Source organism: Homo sapiens, chromosome 7 (genome assembly GCF_000001405.40).
Source record: "Homo sapiens chromosome 7, GRCh38.p14 Primary Assembly".
NCBI lineage: Eukaryota > Metazoa > Chordata > Mammalia > Primates > Hominidae > Homo > Homo sapiens.
Genome location: NC_000007.14, coordinates 49,827,345 through 49,850,606, shown reverse-complemented (window position 1 = coordinate 49,850,606; position 23,262 = coordinate 49,827,345). Strand labels below are relative to the sequence as shown.

At 41.1% G+C, this 23,262-nt stretch overlaps 2 protein-coding genes across 7 annotated transcripts in view; one reads left to right on the top strand and one right to left on the bottom strand.

Moving 5' to 3' along the window:
- The window catches only part of ZPBP (zona pellucida binding protein), a 252,593-nt gene extending 242,640 nt beyond the window's left edge, over positions 1-9,953 (top strand). Inside the window, exons 9-10 of one of the 2 annotated variants that reach the window (XR_001744543.2) lie at positions 93-281; positions 4,179-9,953. Coding sequence is in view for 1 of the 2 variants with exons in the window: in XM_011515097.2 (XP_011513399.1) it covers positions 93-131 (39 nt within the window). In the remaining variant the exon portion in view is untranslated. Of the gene's footprint in view, positions 1-92; positions 286-4,178 lie in introns of those variants that run through there. The other variant, XM_011515097.2, reaches the window with a different exon arrangement.
- VWC2 (von Willebrand factor C domain containing 2) overlaps positions 1-23,262 on the bottom strand; it is a 148,568-nt gene that overhangs the window by 71,599 nt on the left and 53,707 nt on the right. The gene's annotated exons all lie outside the window — the stretch shown is intronic.

Sequence of the window (23,262 nt, the reverse complement as noted above, 5' to 3'; positions counted from 1 at the left end):
CTGGCCTACTAAAAACTGATGAGGCTGCTGTGTGTGGACATCTTGTGAGTTCATGCATGCACCTGTGAGCTAATGCTCCTCTCCTCTTTCAGGACCTCCTGCAGAGCCCCTGTCCATCTCCTTGTGCCTAAGCTACCACTCCTTCCATAGTTCCAGGAATACTTGGCTTATAAGGATGCCACAGGAAGACAGGAGGCCTCTTACACTGGATGTGAAGCTATGTCATGGCACTGGCCAGTTTTGTTCATCTTGGACTCACCAATGGAACTGGCAGATGGCAGGTGTGTTAAACAATGTGACTTAAAATAAAGGGCAAATTCCTAGGTGATGATGTAATTCTAGGTCCCTGGTGTGTGGCATGAAGTGGACAGGTTACTACAGTCAAACCTTCATTGATGACAGACCCTATCTGACCACTGTGTTGTGGTACTATGCTCAGTCTTCCTGAATACTGCGTTACAGCACTGTGCTCTGTTTTCCTGCAGCACCATGCTATGTGCTAGGCTTGGTTTTTCTACAGCAACATGTTGTGGTACTGTGCTTAGTCTTCCTGCACCTGTGCTAGGATACTGTGCTCAGTCTTCCTGTGCACTGTGCAGTGGCACTGTGCTCAGTCTTCCTCCACACCCTGCTGTGGTACTGTGCTTAGTCTTCCTGTGCACCATGCTGTACTATTGCACTGAATTTTTTTGTACCTGTGCTATGGTACTGTGCTCAGTCTCTCCAGGGTCCTCTCAGTCCCACTATATGAGGCTTCACTGGCCTCGCAGGTTAGAATCTGAGAAGTGATTCTACCCCAAGACTTGGTTAGAGCAGGAGCCACTTTTATTAAGTCAGACTCTCAGAGAGCAGAATAAGTGACAGGCTGGTTGCCCATTCTTCAGGCTTCTGCTGACATCCACAATCTCCCTGAAATAAATAGGGCACTACCAAATGGTGAAACAAGCACCCAGCGTTAGACTCTATCTAATGGTGCATGTTCTCACACTGAGTCTTGGTTAGAACATTTACATTTGTGAAACAAAAAGAGGCAGCGTGTGTGTGTGTAGAAGGGCTGAAATGTGGCATGGAGTAGGGGTGCATATGCCAGTTAGCTGCAGAAAGATGCACTTCAGAAGGGAGATCCAAACCCCATCCAGAGACCCGCGAGGACCCTTCCTGACAGTCTGCTCCCAGCAGAGCTGATTGCTTTTGGAGCCCTCAGGAGCAGTGGCAGGACACACAGCAAATCTAAACTCCCTTCTTAGCCATCTAATTTCCAGTGCTGCCCCCAGCCAGTTCATCAAAGGAATTACTTTTGAGCAGATTTAATAAAACTAGCACTTTCTCTCTCTCTCCTCGGGGAAATTCATTCATAAAAGACAAAAGCATTTTGTGATAAAGAGATGGTGACTGTATTGGTTTCCCCCCACAGCCGAGGCTTCACGGGATCCAGTGGGGTTTCCCTGGGACTGTAGGGTATGAACTGCTGGGATATGTAAGTCAAACTCTGAGAAATAAGAAATACAGTACAGTAGGACAAGAAATGCGAGGGAAGCGCACCAACACATTTGTCATACATGAAGCAAGCAGGACCTAAAGAGAAATAGAGACAATTGGCTACTGTATTGAGCAGATATAATCAACACACATTTTCCACAGTTTAGATAACTTTTTGTGCTATCATATAAGAGATACAGAGACTAGGAAATTCTGAAAATATTATTAGAGGTGTGTTCTGTCTAGATTCCTTTCTGGTCTACTGAATTAGACACAATGTAATCATTTTATTGACTATACTATAAAAGTGTATTTGAATTGTGGCATAAAAAATAATTTAAGGGCCAAAGAACAGTTACCAAAATATCCACTTATATTATTAACCTGTGAGAGAAATGATTCATACAAAACACAAAAATGTGTTTGCCTTTGAACATATAAGGTCTGAGGAGGTGAGAAACGACAGTCAATGATTTATAGATGCACATATTTTTGACATGATTTTACAAGTGGAGAAAGGGAAAAGATGGCTCCTGAGAGCAGCTAGAGAGGAGCTGGGTGATAAACCAGGAAACGAGAGAGCAGACCACAGCTACAGGAGACACACCATTTCTGGGCTCACTGAGCAACAGTTCCTATGGCCCACAGCCGACCCTGGGCAGGTGGGCTGGAAACAGAGGATCCCATGTGTCCTGGGATGCACAGCTGGTCCGGGGCCATGCCCGGCTCTCACACACTGCAGGGCGTCGCCTGCTTCCTCTTGTCAGTGGGGAGCAGGACATTTGGAGCTACCCCACAGGAGAGAGAAGATCCTGGAAAGACCCTGCCGTGGGAGGCTCTGAGTGGAGGTGGGAGGGTGACACTCTCTGGACAGCTAGTGCTGCACCACAGACTGCTCCCAAAGACACTTGCAGCATAAGTGCAAAACTCATACGTCACTCAAAGTTGGGCCCCTATCTTGCAGCCTCCCCAGCCCCCACTGGTTAGACAGGGCATCCCACTCACAAAGCTGACTCCTGTTACATTTCTCCCAGAGACAGATCTAATTAGCGACTGAGACCTGTAGAAGCTTCCGACTTCCCACCCATGTTGCTGTGGAAGCAACATGCTGTGCTAGCCCTATCTCATTTTCTGCATTCTAATGCTTTGACATTGAGCCTTGCTGACGTTGGAGGGACTGCCCCTCCCAGTGCTAACCCATTCCAGGAGATAGTAAACCACTCACCTGTGAGTGCACTTTTCTTGTTGATTACCCAATCAGAGCTCACATCCCCATGACCTCCTCTGCGGGCTTTCACACTGAGAGCCACTGTCCACCTCTTCTGATCATCAGGGCCAGGTTCCAGACACAGGGGCAGTTCCTGTGCTCACAGTCTGCTGAAATCACTCCAAGTAGCCAATCCTAAGCCCGCCTCACCCCTTCTTCCCGTGGAAGCCACCATGAGGGCTTTTGCTCATATTTTACTTCAGCTTCTTCTGCCTCCTGACCCAGGCCAGCGTGCCCCTGTGTGTTCCTCAATAGAACACCCTCTTCTCTTGGGATATCTGAGTATAACCAACTCTCTTTGAACAATGATGATCATCTCATGATCTGTTGACCTTACCATACCCAATAATAAAACCCACATTTTCAAACCCTTGCCCTTGGGAGGGTCACAAGTAATAGCACTAAACTAATAATGGTCAGGGATCCCTGCAAGGCTCTGTGCTCAAGCCACACACACACATTCACTATTTGACCCTCTCAGCAACAATTCTACAGCACAGATAACACTATTATGCCAATTTCAGTATTCAGAAATAGAGGATTAAAGAGGATAAGTAACTTGTCAATAGTCGCAAATGATACTAGTCAGATGTGGAATTTACAACCTAATTATATTATATTATATATATTATATTATATTATATTATAATAGGTTCACACATTTTTGTGTCTTAATATTACATCCCACAGGGGATTCTTATATCCTGGCAGTGACCCTTTTAAAATACACCTATTCGTGTCACAAGTCCCTCTCTACAGCTTGCTATTCTTTTAAAAACTTTGCAAATAACAAGCCAACATTTTCAAAGACATCCCAATTTGACACAGACCTTCTGCTCACTGCAAGTTAGAGTTAAATTCTGCAGGTAGGAAATTTACAGCCTCACACTGAATAATTCACATATGCAATCTGTCAAACTGCTAATTATTCCTTCAAAGAAAAACAATCAGATATTTGTATCATAATATTTTACCTCATTTAGGCTAAACTGCCAAGGTGTCAGAGTGATTAGGAACCTACTTCTCTGGCTGTCAAATGAGGCTGGGGAAATTTACATATGTATAAAGGAGGGAAAATGTATGCATTCCTATATCAGGAAATTATGAGTTAATTCAACCAATGTGGAGCTCAGGGAGTTAAGCATTATCTGCTCTTTGCTCTTTAGGCACAGTGGATACTGTGATGAAAACGTCTCTGTGGTACTCACAGTTTCATGCAGGAAATAAGTATGGCAATAATAATAACAGTGTAATAAGGAGAAAAGGAGAGAGCCATCTGTCTTAGCCCACAAGGCTTTCTACAGTGATAAGCCTTGAGCTCATCACTGTCAGGCCATGGCCAAATTTGGAAGCTTGGAAATGACACTCCAAGCACAGAAAAAGGCATATGCAAAGACGTGGAAGTGAGGGAGAACTTTATGTTGTTCTGCAGATGTCAAAAATGTCCCACAGGGCTGGAGCCCTGCATGTAGTTCTGGGAGCAGCAACAGTGGACAGCTGTTAAGAGACCAGATCACAGAAGTGCAGGTAAAGACCTATGTTTGTTGTTGTTATTGTTTTAGTCCATCAAATTTCTTTCCATATTTACCACAGAGGAAGTGGCGACATGCAGGTTGGAGCAACAGTCTTGGGGGCGACTCTTTGCACCAAATGGAGTGATGGAAAGGTATTGGAAATGGGGTGGATTCATATCTTAGTAAGTCTGGTTGGCTCTATTGACTTGCTTAGATCCTTGGGATAGTTATCTCTAAAGAAGCAATGTGATATCATCCAAAAAAAGCAATGTTTATTTTTGAAGCTGCCTGAAATACTTTTTGGAAAGCAGGACAACATGGATAACTTCCATGGACTGGAGCCGTCTTTTATCATGACTGTACCAAGGAAGCATTTAGAACAAAATATCCACAGGGGCAGGTGTCAAAGACTCATTAGTGAAAACTCTCCAGTGATGAATATGTAAGATGAGAAACGTGTGGGTGTGCACACGCACTCACACTAACTCACTCGCTCTTCCTTCCTGCATTGCTGTTTGTTTGCCACTCCCACATCACAAGGTTCTATATCTGTGGCCATAGAGACAGGGGAAACTTACCCTGTCATTCTGATGTCTGTTTTGTACTGGGAAGTGCTCTTGGGTTTAATTTTGTTACAATGTCAAGGTCTTTTATTAGGAATTATAATTTGCTTCTGAAGTATCACCGAAGGTTGGTATTTTAAAGTTAGGAATTTCTGTATTTGAAGACTGACTTTGGGTAGGAAGTCCTCTTGGCCACAAATATTCTGTATTGTGTTAGCATCTGACCAATTTCACACAGACAACTTGCCTGCCTCTCTCTCTCAGATATATTCCTTCACCATTCTACATTTCAGTGTTTTTTACAGTTGAACTAGTAAATGTCAAGGGTTTGCTATCTCACTAATATATTGATAGTAATAATCACAAGCATTGTTGTTGAAATTATAGATTGTGTGTGAAAATCTAAGTTTCTATAGAAACCATAGATGCTTAACAGATGGATAGAGTCCTAGAGATTGTATATTTAAATCATCTATCACCTTTTTTTTTTCCTTCGACTTTTAAGTTCCAGGGTACATGTGCAGTGTATGCAGGTTTGTTACATAGGTAAACGTGTGCCATGGTGGTTTGCTGCTCCAATCAACCCATCACCTAGGTATTAAACCCAGGCTCCATTAGCTCTTCTTCCTGATGCTCTCCCTTCCCCCACCCCCACTGACAGGCCCCGTGTGTGTTGTTCCCGCCCATGTGTTCATGTGTTCTCATCGTTCAGCTCCCATTTATAAGTGAGAACATTCGGAAATAACTTCCTTTTGAAAAAGGAAAAGTGAAGCCCAAAAATGAGGACGAAAGTGAATTGCCGGCCGGGTGCGGTGGCTGCTGCCTGTAATTCCAGCACTTTGGGAGGCCAAGGTGGGCAGATCACCTGGGGTCAGGAGTTCAAGACTAGCCTGGCCAACATGGTGAAACTAAAAATACAAAAATTTAGTTGGACGTAGTGGCGGGCACCTGTAATCTCAGCTACTCAGGAAGCTGAGACAGGAGAATCGCTTGAACCCAGGAGGCAGAGGTTGCAGTGAACTGAGATCGTGCCATTGCACTCCAGCCTGGGCAAGAAGAGCCAAACTCCGTCTCAAAAAAAATAAAAATAAAAATAAAAAAGTGACTTGCCCAAGGTAATGTGGCTGCTACGTGTCAGATCCATTGACCCTAAACCAGAGTCTGAATCAAAGACCAGGGCTCTCACAATCTTCCATGCTGCATTACCTTTCTAGGGCTTCTGTTTGCTACAATTTTATGGCCCATTAATAAGCAGAAATTTATATTCAGCAATGGATATACAATTAATTGAGTAACATAGTATAAATATTGCCCAGGGAAGTATTTATAGGACAATATTTTAGAAGCTTTCATATCTATAGTTATCTAACTCTGCCAGGGCAAAGCCGATCGTTCTGACAGACCTGGCTTGGCTTACCTAGAACTGTGAAAATGGAAAGTTTAGTAACTTAATGACATTTCCAAATGTAAATACTGCAGTGTTTTAAATTGCTTTAAAGGTTGAGAGGATAGAATCGACGCCCTTCAGGGACTCAGCCAGTCATCATAAGGATTGATGTAGAGATATTCTCTACTAGCATGCATGACGTCCACTCTGAGTGTGCGATTCCCGTCTGAGCAGACCTTTCCACGTTGCGGTCCAAACACACCTTAGGTGAAACATCACACATTCATCCACCTGTTGCCATCCTCTCCTGCAGCAAAACCTGCCCTCAGTCTCCTCCTGTGCTGCCAACCTTCATGAATCATCACCCAGCCAATTCCATGGCCAAACCCAGAAATCTTCATTGACTTTTTCCCTTCCCTTACACATAGGCCCCTGTAATAGAATGAGTCCTAACTGTCACCTTTTCTTCATCTTTTAAAGCTCTGCTATCTCTCCATCTATCAGGGATTATTACCATTGGTCTTCTTTTTTCCATTCATCCTCTGCACAACTGACAGATTGCGTTTTCTAAGATGAACTGTCATCACATCAGTGCCCAGGTTAAGTCCTTGCACAATGCCCTGTAGCGCTGGGGGCAACATTTCAAATCTTCGCTTCTCATCCCAGTGCTTCTATGACCTTGTCTCTAATAGACCTCAGCTGTTGCTGCTCCCCAACCAACATGCAGGACTCTAGCCCTCTGGGACATTTTTGACATCTTTACCTACGTTGTGGACATTACAAACTGGAAACCTTTCTGTACATACAAAACTAAAATCATTCATTGAATGATTAGTTTTTTGTTTGGTGTTTGTTTTTTACTTGAGTAAAATAGTCAAATTATCGTGAATTAGTGCTTGTAAGCTGGACCTCTGCTGTCCAAACTCATTAATGGTAGACCCTTTCATTTCTTGAATAAGAAATTGGCACATATAAACAATCTCTGAAAACATTTGCTTAATACGTCCATGGGCCTCACTGAGCTGTGTCTCCTCTTCGCTTGGGAGATTTTTCACATCTGATGTTTCTGAGAGCTTTATGTTCCTGGAGCCATCAGGAAAGGGGCTCACCCATGAGAAAATGAAGTTTAAACCAGAATTTGAATTTGGATTTTTATGAGTATGGCAGAATATTGGAATTCCCATATTTTCCACTTCTTATTGGTTACAGTAAGCAAGAAGTTCACAGAAAACTGCATGTTCTCACTTGTAAGTGGGAGCTAAACATTGGGTACTTAGAGACATAAAGATGGTACCAGTAGACACTGGGGACTGCTGGAGCAGGAGGGCAATGCAGCGACTCGGGGAAAGGGAAGGGGAAAAACAAACTGTTGGGTACTATGCTCAGAGTTCATGAGCTCACTATGAGATCACTTGTACCCCAAACCTCAGCATCACACAGTACACCCAGGTATCAAACCTGCACATGTATTCTTCTGAATCTAAAAATAAAAGTTGGAAAAAAAACAGAAACGGGAGATGAATAATATTATGAGATATCTTTTACTATGCAGTGAAAGCATGAGTAAACACACTTCTTTTCTACAGAATCTGGCCACCTTCTAGATGACATGTATTAAAGCTACATGGCCAAATTCATACTATGAAATTTCCCTCTATTTCAGCATCTCCAGGGAAATCACTAATATTGGACTTGCACAAATTATTGCATTATCTCCCATATTTATTCCCAATAACTTTAAAGACAATTATTCTGCAAGTATACAGACAATTCCTGATAAGAACATTCCTAAGTTCACTGACACATGATTATAGGGTGATTTCTGGAAGCATCCTACAGGTAAGGGTGTGGATTCACTGTTGTGTCACTGAGTTACACTGGATGGTGAAACTCTCAACACAAGTTTCTTAATCTCATTTACTCTCCTGTATTATCTCTAAGGTTTTAGGTTCTCCCCTATACTGACTTCAGTAAACTATCATACCTAAAGGCATCCAATTAAAAATAAAATAAAATTAAAATGTCATGACGTTTTAGTAACTTTTAAGTAAGTTAAAGTATACAGATAATATAGTTTTAGGTTTCTTTTTATTTCCTGAATGATAACATCTCTCATGAGCTATGGCACTGCAATAGCCATTTACTAGTTCATGCATATCCACTAAGATTTAACATGTATTTATCAAGTATTTATATAACACTAATGACATCACTTAAAAGAGTTGAATTGGCCAGGCGCGGTGGCTCACACATCTAATCCCAGCATTTTGGGAGGTTGAGGAGGGTGGATCACCTGAGGTCAGGAGTTCAAGACCAGCCTGGGCAACATGGTGAAACCTCGTTTCTACTAAAAATACAAAAAGTTAGCTGGGCGTGGTGGCGAGCACCTGTAATCCCAGCTACTCAGGAGGCTGAGACAGGAGAATCGCTTGAACCCAGGAGGTGGAGGATGCAGTGAGCTGAGATCACGCCATTGCACTGCAGTCTGGGCAATAAGAGCAAAACTCCATCTTAAAAAAAAAAAGAGTTGAATTTACAACATTCTCCTCCTAGGAGTTATTTTCTATCAAGCATAATATAAACAATTGCTTTGGTCATGATTTCCCACAAAAATGGTACTCCATGAAAAATGTCTGCAAAAATTATTACACATTATAAGAAATGTGTGGACAAGGGCATCAAGTAGGATGAATGATTAGAAGAAATGCAAACCATGCTAAGTACATTTCTACTGCAGGGCCTCCCTGAGTGTGTCCCACAGAACCTCTGTCCTCCCGGAAGGTCTGAGGGAAAAAGCTCCACGTCCAAAGCATTTTAGGAAATCTGCTATATCTGGCGATTTGTTATATGCACTATAACAGTTAAGCTCTGAGTCATGAAACTTCCAAAAGAAAGACTTGCTCAGTACTGTTTAAGTGAAAATTTTATATCCATACTTAAAACACTGAATCCCTACCTTAAATTCCACCAATTCATTTAATTCCTCCACTATGAAATTGTTTCTTTTTGCTTGCCTACAGTACTTTGAGCTGACTGTTCTGTTTACTGCTTTTTCCTGATTCTCTTACTTTAAAAAAAAAAAAAAAAGTAATGTGTAAACATCTTAGGCTGTTTCAGCAAATACTAGCTCTCAAAACATGGCCACAAGCCTAAGTGGAATTCATCTCTGCAAACAGGGAATAGTCAGGCCTCTTTCTTGCTTTGGTTACTTGAGTCTGGAGCACAAAGGCCACTTGCTCTGGAATCCCTCCTGGGCCAGAACAGACAGCTTCGCTTGTATGCATTATGTCTCATAATTCAGACAGAAAAAAATTCCAGTCCACATTCCTCTGGAATCCAAATAAGACCAAATATTTCAATTTTCTGTCCTTGCAGTGGCATCCAATCTTGAAAAAGGTATTCCTTCTAGCTCTTCTCCTGACACCATCTGAGTCTGTTCTTTGCATCCCATCAAGTCACTCATGTTAACCCACTATAGTGTTGACCAGCTTTCACCAAGAGGCAGAAAACTTGAGACAGGGCAACAGCTCTGACTCGGGGGTCAGAGAAAGGATGGAGAGGGACAAACTATGAGTGGCTTGACTCACTGCGAACCTGAAATACGGGGAAACTAACTAGAGATTTTGGAGAGTTTTCTTGAATGCCGGATCCACAAAAATGAACAATAAAAGAGTGAATAATCGGCTTTTTATGCAAACAGCTTTTGAAGCTGCACTGAAGCAATTTTCTTAGTAATATGGGAAGAAAAAATAATCAAACCAATACTCCTTATGCTCACAAAATAGAATCAGAGGAGTTAACAAAGACTTATTTATTTGAGAACCTAACTGACTGATTTGTGCTCAGTGATCCATAGTCACCCCCTCCCACCGCTAAACATTATTACACAGCACTTGAGGTTTATAAAACGGCTTTCCACCATGCTGGGGGCTACCAAGCAGCAGCTGGCACATCCTGATAAACAAATGATGGATCTGGAATCAGTCACTAATCAGATGTGATGGGCCCCTGCGAGGCAGACAGTACATGCAATTAAAACCTCAGCACTGCTGATGATCTGCTGCATGACTGCTAGAATTTCCTATACTCCGTGCCCCTCCACCATACCACCAGACATTCCCCACAGCTCTAGAACACCATAGTCATTTTCATAGTTTACATTTAGCATCCAAAGAAACATATTTGTTCATCTACAACTCTCTCGAAAATAGCTTCCTAGGTTTTCTCTACCACTGACGGAAGAACAGTCACTCTTCTCAGACAGGCTCTCCTCGGGTGGAAAGTGAGGTGCAAAGTGAGAGCCAAGTAAAGGCGCTCCTGCTCCGGAAGCCTGGTCAGCCCGTGGGCCAGGGTTGTCCATGAGGCGAGATAGACACGTCCCAGCACCCATTTCCTGGAAACAGACCTTACTGCCTGGGCCCTCGCCACAGCTTTGACTTTAGGAAAACATGATCTGATCCTAGAAATCATTCATTTGGGAAAACAGCTACAACAAAAACTTAGCTTGGAACCACCAGATCTTCTTTGAATGCTTCTAACTTTAGGCTCTAGAGACATGGGACGTCACGATTTGAAACATGTGGTTCTCACTCCTAACTTGAGTTCATGTCAAAGGCCCCGTTTGTGAAGTGGCTTTATTTCTGCACGCAGCTCTTTCCTCTCTGGCCATTTTCAAATATTACAAATTCCCACTTGCATGGATCCAACATACATAGTCCTCAGCCTTCTAACCATGGGTACCACATGAGAGATCTCTGGCAACAGACAAAGAAAACCTCTTTTTTTTTTTTGGCTCTTGTTTGAAGGTGGTAATCCTCCAGCCAGATCTTGTCCAGGTGAAACCTCCCCTAGGTTTCTCAACAATTATTATATTGGTTTCTCTCTGCTTTAATCATGAGAATGTGAAACATCATTCAGTTCAAACAAGAAATTTTGGAGGGATAAAAGACATTTCTTAACAAGTGAAGCTTTGGTTGTCCTCAAATTTGATGGCATTAGAGCATGTTTTAAACGAGCATATAAATTAAATGACATCACATATTGTAAGTTATCCCCATTGCTGCAGAAGTACCATGGTATCAATTAGACCTCAGGGGACACACAGGCCAAATTTAAATTCTGCCTTTCATTCTTATATTGGTGCTGCCATAATAAAATATCACAGACTGGGTAGCTTAAATAACAGAAATGTATTTCTCACAGTTCTGGGGGCTGGAAATTTCCAGATGCAGATACAGGTGGGTTCTTGTCTGGTGCGGGCTCTTGTCCTGGCTTACAGACAGCTGCCTTCTCACTGTGTCCTCACATCACAAAAAAGACAGGGAGGGCTCTGGGGTCTCTTTATCTTCTTACATAAAGGCCCCACTCCTATCAGAGAAGGGCCCTACCATCGGGAAATCATTTACACTTTATCACCTCCCTCACAGGCCCTATTTCTAAATTCTGTCACACTGGGGATTAAAGCTTCAATATACAAATTTTAGGAGGACACAATTCAGTTCCTAGCACATCTTAACAGTTGTGTGACTTTGGGCAACTTATATATCACCTCTCAGCCTTGTTTTCTGATTTGTAAAATGTACATTATATTGATTTCATAGTGTTACTGTAAGGCTTAAATGATTTAATATAAGTTAAAAAGCTCCTGGAAAATCCTGGAAACTTTTAGGTCCTAAAAAATAAATTGTAGCTATTACTATGTCCCTTGTAACCTTATGGAGATGTTGGTTAATCCTTCCCTCAAAACACTGCTTGTACGGAGCCACGTTCTACTCCAAGGGCATCGTCTACTCAAGCGCTGTAGGATGCTCTGCAGCCTGTCCCAGAGACACAGGCCCTCCTGTGCTAGCCCTGGGAGAACTCTAGCTGTGAGCACTCACATCCTCAGCACGGCAGCCTCCCGGCTCCCATCCTCCACTGACAAGATCCCAAAAGACCGGAGTCTGCTTCAATCCTACTGTCTCCTGACCCCACTCTGTCAACATCTGTACTCCCCTAAAAGTCCAATTAGTTATTCCTAAGGAAATGAAAAAGTGCACCAATCTGCTGGAAAAAAAGTAAGAGATAATAGATAAGTCTCATTATGTGTTTAACAGAATATTGTTCAAGAATCTCAAGTGAGAAATGTCTCACATCCATAGAGCATTTTGCCTTTTACGGTTGTGTGCTCCCAGCATGTACTTACGTTACTGAGGTTATAAGCCCTGCCTCTGCCTCCTAATTCACACAGGCTGGCATTAGATGGGGGGATAGGGAAGACAGCCTTCAGGATCTTCAGTCCTCTGTCCCCCTAGCTAGAGTGAACTCAATACTTGGGCCAGACCAGTCCATTTGGGACTTGCACATCTGGACTGGATAGCATTGACTTCCCTTTGAATTGCTTCCAGTGAGCTGCATGTGACACTATCCCATCAATGTACAGGGAAGAAAGTTATAGGCAGATTTTTGAACTTTATGTTTGTATTTTCTGTAAGGATTTGAAAAAATTTTTCATTATATCATAAGGACTAATGGGAAGATTTCTCTCAGGTCTCAAAATAAGAAATAAATATGCTCCTCCTAGGCAACACATCTTTATTTTTATTATCAGCATCATGGATTGTGCGATCGATTAGATTTCCACCCCCTCGGCTACTGGAAAATTCAAAATGAAATTTGTATTCCATCTCTGGTAAGTAAGTATTTGGAAAGCATTTGGAGGCATAACCTTGCCATTCAATTTATCTTTTTTCCTTCTTCCTCTCAAATCTCATAACTTTAAAATTTTTCCCTCACAAAAATGCAAGTGATTCCCTGGAGACTGTAAATCCAGCAAGTGCCATGACTGATCAGACGTCCTGAGTCCATGTCCAGAACTCTCCCCATGACCTCCCCCGGCCTTCAGGGATTCCAAGGCAAAACTCAAAGTGAAAGATACCTCTTCTGTTTTAAGCTAATAAGGGGGGACCCAAAAGTCCTTCACATGTTCTGGGGCACTTATACTATTGCCTGACACAGTAGGCACATCATCGAGGTGACTTGTTATTGGTTTCCTTGCATTTAATACCAGGTTTTGCAAAAGATAGACACAATTTTCAGCAATTACTCTAAGAATGTCTAAATTTAATTAAGTTCTATTCCTCAAGCCAATATCCAAAATGTTTGCATGGTTCATTGAGTCTCACAGTGCTCTGGTTATTTAAATATTCCCTCATTGAATATCACAGTTGCAATTCTTAATTTAAAGTCTGCACATCTCTATGGAATATGTTTAATAAAAATGTTTGAAAAGAACTGGGTCATTTTGGTTAAGGTTCTCAACTCACTTCAATAGTTGCCACATATGATCATCTGTAAAGTCAATTTTTAATGTCACACAAATCAAATAAGTTAAACTTCAAAGACTAAATTTCAAGCATTTAGTGACTATATACTTCAGTAATTAGTTGTGCACACATTCTCATGATTTTTGACATTTTGTTCAAGGGTAGGAAAAAGGTGGTGTCAAACTCTGATCTAATTGTGACATATCAAGTGAGGATGCTCTCTGAGAAGAATATATGATACAACTTACTAAAGAAACCAAACCAATCTACATATATCTACAACTAAACAGTGGTTTGGTTTCTTTTGTAATGTATCTATATTATTTGCATACAAAAAACCTAAAAGATTTTTTCTAGGCCTCAAGAAAGATTTTTTATAAATCCATGCACACCTAGGTATAGATTTTTTGTATTTATTTATTTATTTATTTATTTATTTATTTATTTATTTATTGAGATGGAGTCTTGCTCTGTTGCCCAGGCTGGAGTGCAGTGGGGAGATCTCAGCTCATTGAAACCTCCGCCTCTGGAGTTCAAGCAATTCTCCTGCCTCAGCCTCTGGAGTAGCTGGGATTACAGGCAACTGCCACATGCCTCACTAATTTTCATAGTTTTTTTTTTTTTTTTTCAGAGACAGAGTTTCACCATGTTGGCCAGACTGGTTTTGAACTCGCTACCTCAAGTGATCTGCCCACTTCTGCCTCCCAAAGTACTGGGATTACAGGCCTGAGTCACCATGCCCAGTCCACACTTAAGTATAGATTTTAAATATCATTTCACTATAAGTCACAGACCAAAAATTTAAGTGTAAAAATATTAATGCAAACCATCAGCCTACACATTTATCTCTTAGTTCATGTTAGTAGAAAAAAATTCAGTTTGGTTTTACAAATATGAATACAATTATTGATTGAATGTATCTGCCTAAAATATTCTATCCAAATTAAATTTGATGATGTGATGCCATATGGAATAATCTGAGAACAGCAACACAGACTTCTATCTGAACTCAGAATGAAAACAAATTAACTAGCAAACTCCCTTTCTCTGGCTTCTATTCATTATCATTTGCAAATTATGATTTAATGCCTAGGAATCAATAACCAGAAAATTGTATTTTCTTCTAAAGCAATTTAATTTATCATTGTTTGTTTTTATAAGAAATTTAGTCGTGATACCATGACTTTTTGTTTCATACAATTAAAAAAATGGTCATTATAACAAATTCGAAAAATATATAAAGAAGAAGCAAAAGGTTCAAAGAGAGATAGCTAATGCCAATAGTTTATAATTTCCTTCCAGTATCAGTCAATCCATCAATCATACATTTTACTTATAAATTACATTGCTTTAACACAATGCTGCCAAACCCTAAAGTGCACGTGGACGCAACACAAATTGCCACACCACTTTTTCAGTAATTCTCCACTGAGCCCCTTCTGTAATTTTCCATTTCTTCATAGGCTCCAAGTTTCTTTTTTGTTCTTCCTTTTTGTTCCCTCTCCGTCCTCCTTTTAAAAACCTCAGCCACCTTGGTCTTAGTTGAAGTTGAGCTCAGTTTATACTGGATTGTCTCCCTTACTGCAGCTGTCTGAATACAATCTGTCTTGCCCTCTTTAACAAGTGTTCAGTCCTGATTCTCTTTAAAAATTACTGACCCTGGTCATCCCAGCCCCCACCATGCATTTAAGAAAATTTGCACCCAAGCCCACATGTGTCACTAGCTTAAATACTGAGAAAGAAAAGAAACTTCATCTGAGGAATGTGAGCCCCCTTTAATTATCAGGACTAATTACATCAGTCACCTCTCATTCCTCCTTGAACTAAATAATTACTGCTTGAAGCCACTTGCTAGGTGGGCTCTGGACTAACTGATGTCCAGTAGCCATAAAATGCCATATGCTGGACACTATGTCCTCTACCCTATAGTTCAACAATGAATAGCCAATCACTGACCAATGTTACCGCTATAAACCAGTGAGAATTCTAGGCAAACAACTTTGTATCAGGGCACTCTTTGTCCCCATTTGCCTTTAAGAACCTGTCTGTAACAAAGGAGCACTCCCCAAGGCAACTTGGAATTGTGTCCTAGGCTGCTGTGTTCAACCTTGACCCAAATACACTTTCTATATTAATTTTTCCTCAGCTTCTATCTTTAGGTTGACAATATCTCCCCCATCCTGGCCTCCACCACCACCACACACAGTTTAGATTAACAACTGTATGCAGAGGGTGGCTCCAGGTCTTCTGACTCACAAGCATTTACAGCCAAATTTCCTGTCCCCATGTGAGATCACGACTCCAATCCTTGGGGCCTCCAGCCAGTCCCAAACCCCCAGAATCACATGGCATTGCCTGTCTGATATTACTCTGGGATTTGCTTCTTACTTGATTTCTAGCACCTGGGGAATTTTATTTTTTCCAAACTAAGCTAGATATTTTAAAGGCAAATATATTCAGCATTTACTCGGCATTTCGTGTTTGCAGTAGGAAGGATTCATGAACCTCAGCTCCATCTGCCACGTGACCAGAAACCCTATTTTCTACTGATAATTCAGCATATAATACAGACTGACACTCAGTAGGACTAACAGATCTGTGGAATAATCCCCACTTGCTCATTCACTTGTTGCATGAATATATATTTACATAATTGGAGTCCTACTTTGATAGTTTTGTATCTTGTTTCCAGCATGGACTTCTTAATGTATGATGAAAGCTCTCTGCCTAGATTCATTTTCCATATAATTGAACTATTTGATTCCCACAGAGTCCCCTGGAAATGAATTAGCCACTGGGGATAATGAATAGAGGACAAGAGAACATGCCAATGAACTGCATCAGGTCAACCTTGAAGTTTGCCTCAAGGCCCACATAACCCACACGGTGATATTCAGCTAACCAGAACAGCCCTGCGCACAGATCAGAGAGTATTGTGGTGGAAAATAGAAGGGCTCCTTTACTCCCAAGTCTACCCATCAGCCTAGAAACCAGTAGAATCATTATCACTGCTGGTTTTGCTCAGCCAATACGCTTCCCATGGTATGAAATCAACTTTATGACTTCTGGATGTGATGATCCACAAGCCACCTCTGAAATTAACAGCTAAGCTGATGATCCTGCAAAACTTTATCTGCTTTGGTTGCTTTTAGTTCCTTTTTTCTAGTTGATCTTGAAACCTATATAGCTAAAAGTCATGAGCTAAACAATATATAACTAAATTCCCACTGCCTGACTTATAGATAGAATCTATAAGTTACGATGGTAAGTTGCTTACATTGTTTTTCAGGAACTTGGGGTCAACTCTTGTCTGGTTCAAGCCATCTGAGACCACTGACCCTCCAACTGGACAGGGTTGATTCCCTGCAGCAATGTTCAATGAGTGATCTTCTAACATTAGAGGGACAAAAATATCACTCTCAGATGATGTTAATGATGCCATTTTGTGAAGATGTATTCCATAAAGAGCCATGAAGCTTGACTACATTTGCATGGACCACTGATTACCTCATTTTTCCTCACTCCCAATCACCTTTCCTAATGCGTTGGACCACCTTGCTCCTTTATCTCATAAATATCTGTAAGACCCCATCTTCAGGGAGGTGGATTTGAGAGGTGTTCTCCCACTTCCTTGTTTGGCTGCTTTGTGAATAAAATCTTTTCTCTACTGCAAAACTTGTTATCTCAGTGATTGGCTTATTGTGCAAGGGGCAGAACATGCTGGCTCATTATCACTTCCACATTCATCTTTCTGGCCTGGATCCCATCTCTGAATTCCAAACTCCAAATCTCTACTTGAAGAAGTTACTCAGACTTCTAATAGACTTATCAACTTACCACAGACAAAACTGAACTCTGCATCTCCCTCCACTACCTCCTGTTACACCCACATTCTTCTCTGTGTCAATAAACATCAATCCCATTCATTTAGTTGCTGACACTAAACGCCCTGCAGTTAACCTGGAAACCTTCCTTTCTCTCATGCCCAAATGCAATGCATCAGCACGTCTTATTAGCCTAACCTTCATAGTATCCTTTGATCTTTAGCCCTTACTCTGGTCATTTTGACTTCTGGACTTTTCACATTTCCAACTCAGGATGTACAGGGCTTATAGCTGCAATTCTGGAAGTGTACTTCTCCAGAGAAGACTTTTAGACTGTGATCTCCTTGGAGCAGGGTTGATTTCTGATCCATACTTTTAACCTTAGAGCCTAGTGAAGTGCCTGGAGGTACTTGGCAAATGACCAAAGAAAGCTAAATGACAACTGGACAGAGCACATTGCCAAGAAGTTAATATAGCTTGACAAAGTCTTGGCAATGTAGAATTTTACCTGAATGTTGTTAAACACAGTTGATGAGAGGCTGTTGGCTTGGACCAGCCTCCTGCACTAGGCCCCAGCAGACCAGACCAGACCAGAATAGACAGACTTGTGCTAAGTGCCATGGAACCAAACAGAAGTTTGAAATAGGTCAGTTTTCCTAAAAAACAGGAGATTTCAGTCAACCTGGTTCAGCACAATAAGGAAGTTCCCTCTGTTTTAACCCTGTAAGGAAAGTAACTTTCAAATGACCAATACACTTTTTGTTCCCTGTTTCTGCTTCCTTAAGTCCTTTCTGCCTATAAAGCCAACCTCCTCTGATCAGCTCATAGGAACCTCATTCTATTTCTCAGAAAATAGAGAATAGAATTCTCTATTTCTCAGAAAATAGAATGAGGTTCTATTTCTCAGCAAATTCTGTTTCTCAGAAAATAGAATGAGGTGATGCTCAATTCTAGAATAGCAAATAAAAGCTAATTAGATCTTTAAACAAAATTTCTTATAATTTTGTCTTTTGATGTGGTAAAGGAATATCCCACTCTTTTGTATCCCTAAAAACAGCTTACAGCAAAGACTCACCCCTCTCATATGACTTAGATGTGTGGATGCCCCCTTGTTCCCTGTGAAAAAGACAAAGACCTTGCAAATTCCCATTTTTCTGCCTCATAAATAATTAGCTGAACTGCTTTGTCCCCACTGATCAACTGAACAAAATGCTTGTTAACCTTCCTCCAGGGACCCCTCAGCCTGAGCAGCCGATGCCCCTCCTGAGAACAGGCTGGCCTCAGGGAAAATATTATCTGTCTACTATCTGATGATGCTACTTTTTCATCTCAATTCCCCATGCCTGGTTCTTTCTAGCCTTGTTGACTCCTGTCTGTGAAAGAAAGAAACTCTTTTTGCCTAAGTTCTGGAGTTGCTTAAAGATCTTCTGTTCTTCCACTTGCAATAGTCTTTTATTATTGTAAAAATCCTTCTGAATAAAAGTCTCTTCTTGCTAAGTTTGGGTTTATGTTTTTATTTTGCGGTTGATCACCTTGTTGACAGAACTGAATGCTTCTTATCACTGCCAGAGTCAGGAACTCTTCTCATTGTAGCTAAAACATGGCCAATGAGCCTTTGCCCTCCCACCTCCAGTACCTGGAAATTGTTGCTTCCTTAGTGTCTGTTTCACTGGGGGTAGCCCTCGGTATGAGGAGTGTCTCCTTACACTGAGCAAAAATCTGCCACCTGTATATTCTACCCATGTGCGCCCTATCATGCTATGCAGAATAAATCTACTTCCTTTTCCACAAAATAAGCACTCAAGTATCATAATATTTCTCCCCTGAAGTCCCTACATGTTCTCCAGGTTAGTAAATACGTTTGTTACAGCATTCCTGAATTCTAGTGTTCAGAGAGCATGGAATAGTCCTTTTTACAGTTGCTTGAGAAAAAATAAAAAATTCAAATTACTGACAGTCTAAAACACAGGGTTTAACATTTCAAAAAACAAAATCCGCATCAAAATAATGAGAATGACTTCAAAAATGAGAAATTTACAAAAGAAGATAGCCACCACCATAAGCCCTTAGGAGAAGAGCAAGTGGCTGGAGATGGGCGCCCTCAACTTGGAGCCACAGGGAGCTTCTGGAGGTGTTTTGTCACTTCTTCAGCCAAAGCCAAAGAAGAGTGATTACCACCTTAGATGCAGACAAGCACGTGGCACTGTATTGGGCTTGCTAAAACAGTCATGTCTGGGTGGAGGCTGGGTAATTAACAAACTTTCCAGAAGGTATGAACAACTGAATAGAAAGAAATAGTGCGGCACTATTCACAATAGCAAAGACTTGGAACCAACCCAAATGTCCATCAATGATAGACTGGATTAAGAAAATGTGGCACATATACACCATGGAATACTATGCAGCCATAAAAAAGGATGAGTTCATGTCCTTTGTAGGGACATGGATGAAGCTGGAAATCATCATTCTCAGCAAACTATCGCAAGGACAAAAAACCAAACACCACATGTTCTCACTCATAGGTGGGAATTGAACAATGAGAACACTTGGACACAGGAAGGGGAGCATCACACACCGAGGCCTGTCGTGGGGTGAGGGGGTGGGGGAGGGATAGCATTAGGAGATATACCTAATGTAAATGACCAGTTAATGGGTGCAGCACACCAACATGGCACAAGTATACATATGTAACAAACTTGCACATTGTGCACATGTACCCTAGAACTTAAAGTATAATAATAATAAAAAAGAGAAAACCTGAAAGAGTAGCGTTAAATAAAACTAGCCCAGGAAAATTACCATCAGACTGTGGACAGGAATAACAATAATAATACAAGGTGAATTAACGAATTTTGAAATCAAATCCCAGCAGTACAACATGTGATAAAGTCTAGATACCAGAGAAACCAGAGACTTCTGACAACAGAGAGCCCTCATCACCCCCCAGTGAAGAGCAAATTCTTAAGGAAACAACTTCTGTTCCAGGACTCCTACTTGTTAAATTTTTTTTTTCAAATTTTAAAGATTAATAAAAGATTCTACAACTTGCCAAGGACAAAAAGGATAATGCCTAAGATTTCTTCCTGGAGACTTTGAAAAGGAAGAGAACCACAGGGAAGAGCTGAACAGTCAAAAGAAAAAAGCAAGTTTCCACTACAAGTACTACATTCAGTTATGTTGACTTTTCTTTTGAAGGAAGAAAAATATAGAGTAGTTGGAAGACATGAAAAAGAAAATCTGTAAACACAGTCCCATGACTGTAAAAAATCTTCCTAAGCAGCAATAGAGATCTGAGTACGACTGAAAAAATTACAATAACCCAAAAGATAGTTAATGACACATAAATCAATCAACGTGAAGTTCTGCTTCCAGGTAGCAGATAAAGAGTCTCCAGAGATGGCCATTCCCATCCTAACAGAAAGAGCTGGATAAACTGTGAAACCACAGACTCTTGTTGTAATTGTTGTTTGTTTAATGTATTTACTCATTAGAGAGCTGAAGATGCAAAGAGATCCAGGTGGACTAAATGCAGAAAGGCATAACACAGCTTGCCCTCCTCACTGGCAATGTGAAGGGAGAGGAAGAAGGCTGTTTAGGCAGGGCTAAGGAGAAAGGAGACAATGGGATCACAAACTTCAAAGGGTGTGTGTAGGCTGGCGTGATGCGTTGGACTCCAGAAGAGCACCAGCCATGGAATGAGTCTGCAGCCAAACATCAGCCCTTTCCCATGAGCTTCAACAAATGAACGGGGATATTAGGGGAAGGGCATGAATGCCCAGATACCCTGCCAGGCTGCCAGAATCTTAACCGGGGGTGCTATGGATGACTCCATGGGACACAGAGGAGAGAGAGGCCACTGAAGAACTGGGACTCATGAGCAAAGCTGGAGAACAAGGAACTCCCTAGAAACCCAAAACTCTGGCAGGTTGTAAATGGGGAGAGACTCTAAGAGTTCAGAAAGCTGGTCACTGGGATATGATTTTCTAAAAAACCTCAAGTCACATTGGTGTTCAGATTCTAAGCACTGCTAAAGAGAAATCCTGATACAGCCTTGCAACATTTTAAGCCAGTGAAGAATTGTTTTAAAATATAGTGTATTAACAGAAAGTTGAGGTACAATAAGGCCAACAGATCAGGAGACAACTCTCATTGCAAGATAGTTCATTACTCATAGGTCCCAATAGAAGAGGGACACCACCCTCAGGGGACCACTGGGAAGCGGCAGGGTTAGCCATGAGGCAGAGAGAGAGAGAGGAGCTGTGGGCAAGAGCCTTGGTGTGGGTTCCGTGGGAAGGAATTGGTAGAGCAGAGCAAGCAGGCTTAGCATTGACTAGTCTGAATCATTTCAGTGGGCTGTGGGGCACCCGGGCTATCCCTGGGACCTGGCCCTAGGTGAGTATTAGGGCAGGGTACAGTGGCCCAGAGTGTAAGAGCCTGCTTACAGGACAACCAGGAGGTGGTGGAGGGAGTGGGCTCTGGATTGGTTGCTTATATTTGAAAAGCCTGCTCTCTGTCAAGTTGTTTACTACCTCTCAGAACTGATTAACCGTGGGAGAGGCCGTCCGTCTAGCAGCAGTGAGGCTCCAGATGTCAAAGTATCAGAATACAAAAAATAAAAGACATGGTAAATACAGAACTAAGTCTAACTACGCAGTAGCACAGCCCAGACCCAGCTCAACACACACAGGATACCACCACACCCCACTAGAATGGACAATTTTAGAAAGACTGACAATACTGAGTGTTGGTGAGGATGTTTAGCAACTAGAACACTCACATATTGCTGGTAGGAGTGTAAAATAGTACAAACCCTTTGAAAATTAGTAATTTCTTGTAACTTTTCACATTGACCTACCCCATGACCTTAGTGTTTACTTGCAAAAACCTTAGTGTTTACTTGTAAGCCATAGAAGTGTATGTCCACAAAAATCCTGGTGCAAAATATTCATAGCACTTTATTCATTATAGTTCCAAACTGAAAAGGAACCAAAGATCCATAAGCAAAAGAATGCACTTACAAATTGTGGTTTATTTGTACAACGGAATACTACTCAGCCAAAAAAGGAACCAAAATACAAATAGGCACAGCACGGATGAAACTCAAAAATATTATGCTGAGTGAAAAAAGCCAGATATAAAACATCTCATGTAAGATTCTACTTACATGATGTCTCTGAACAAGCGGAAATAATCTAGAGAAAGAAACTGGAAGTAGGTATTTCTGGCAGGTAGGGTGGGATGGGAATTACATGGTAATGTGCATGAGGGCACATTCTGGGATGATGGCTGGTGGAAGTATGTAACTATCAATACTTAATTGAATGATCAAGATTTGTGCATTTTATTGTATGTAAACCGTGTCTCAATAAAAGACTTGATCAGAATATATAAGAAAGCAAAATGCATTCTGAAAAAACAAAGACCAGTAAGTATTGCATTTTACAGTAAAATACTAAATGGTAAGATATAATGGGGTGTCCAGAGAAGGCTATACCAATGCCCAATTTAGAGAAGTCCCCTAAAAAAGAGGTGAGACATGAAATAAACAGGCCATTATTAAGAGGAGCCTTAGAATTGCTCTTGTACATGGTGGACCTTTTAAATGGTGATTATTATTAATACAGTATAACTGTAAGAATGGTAGAAAATAATGGCATAATAAATCCTAGAAAATGAATTTAATAACATGCAATTACCTCCCATCCAATACAAAGAAAAATAAAAAGTTATTGTTTTATACAACATAAAATAAAAAGAGACAACAAAGGCTAGTTACAATATTGAACATATTGGAGAATGGGGTCCTATTCTCCAATAGGACCATTTTATATTTGGTATAAAATACCAAAATGGGCTGGACTTTTCTATAAAAAAGAAGGCACTTCCTGGAATTAATATGAATTAAAAAAAATTTGAAAGTATGT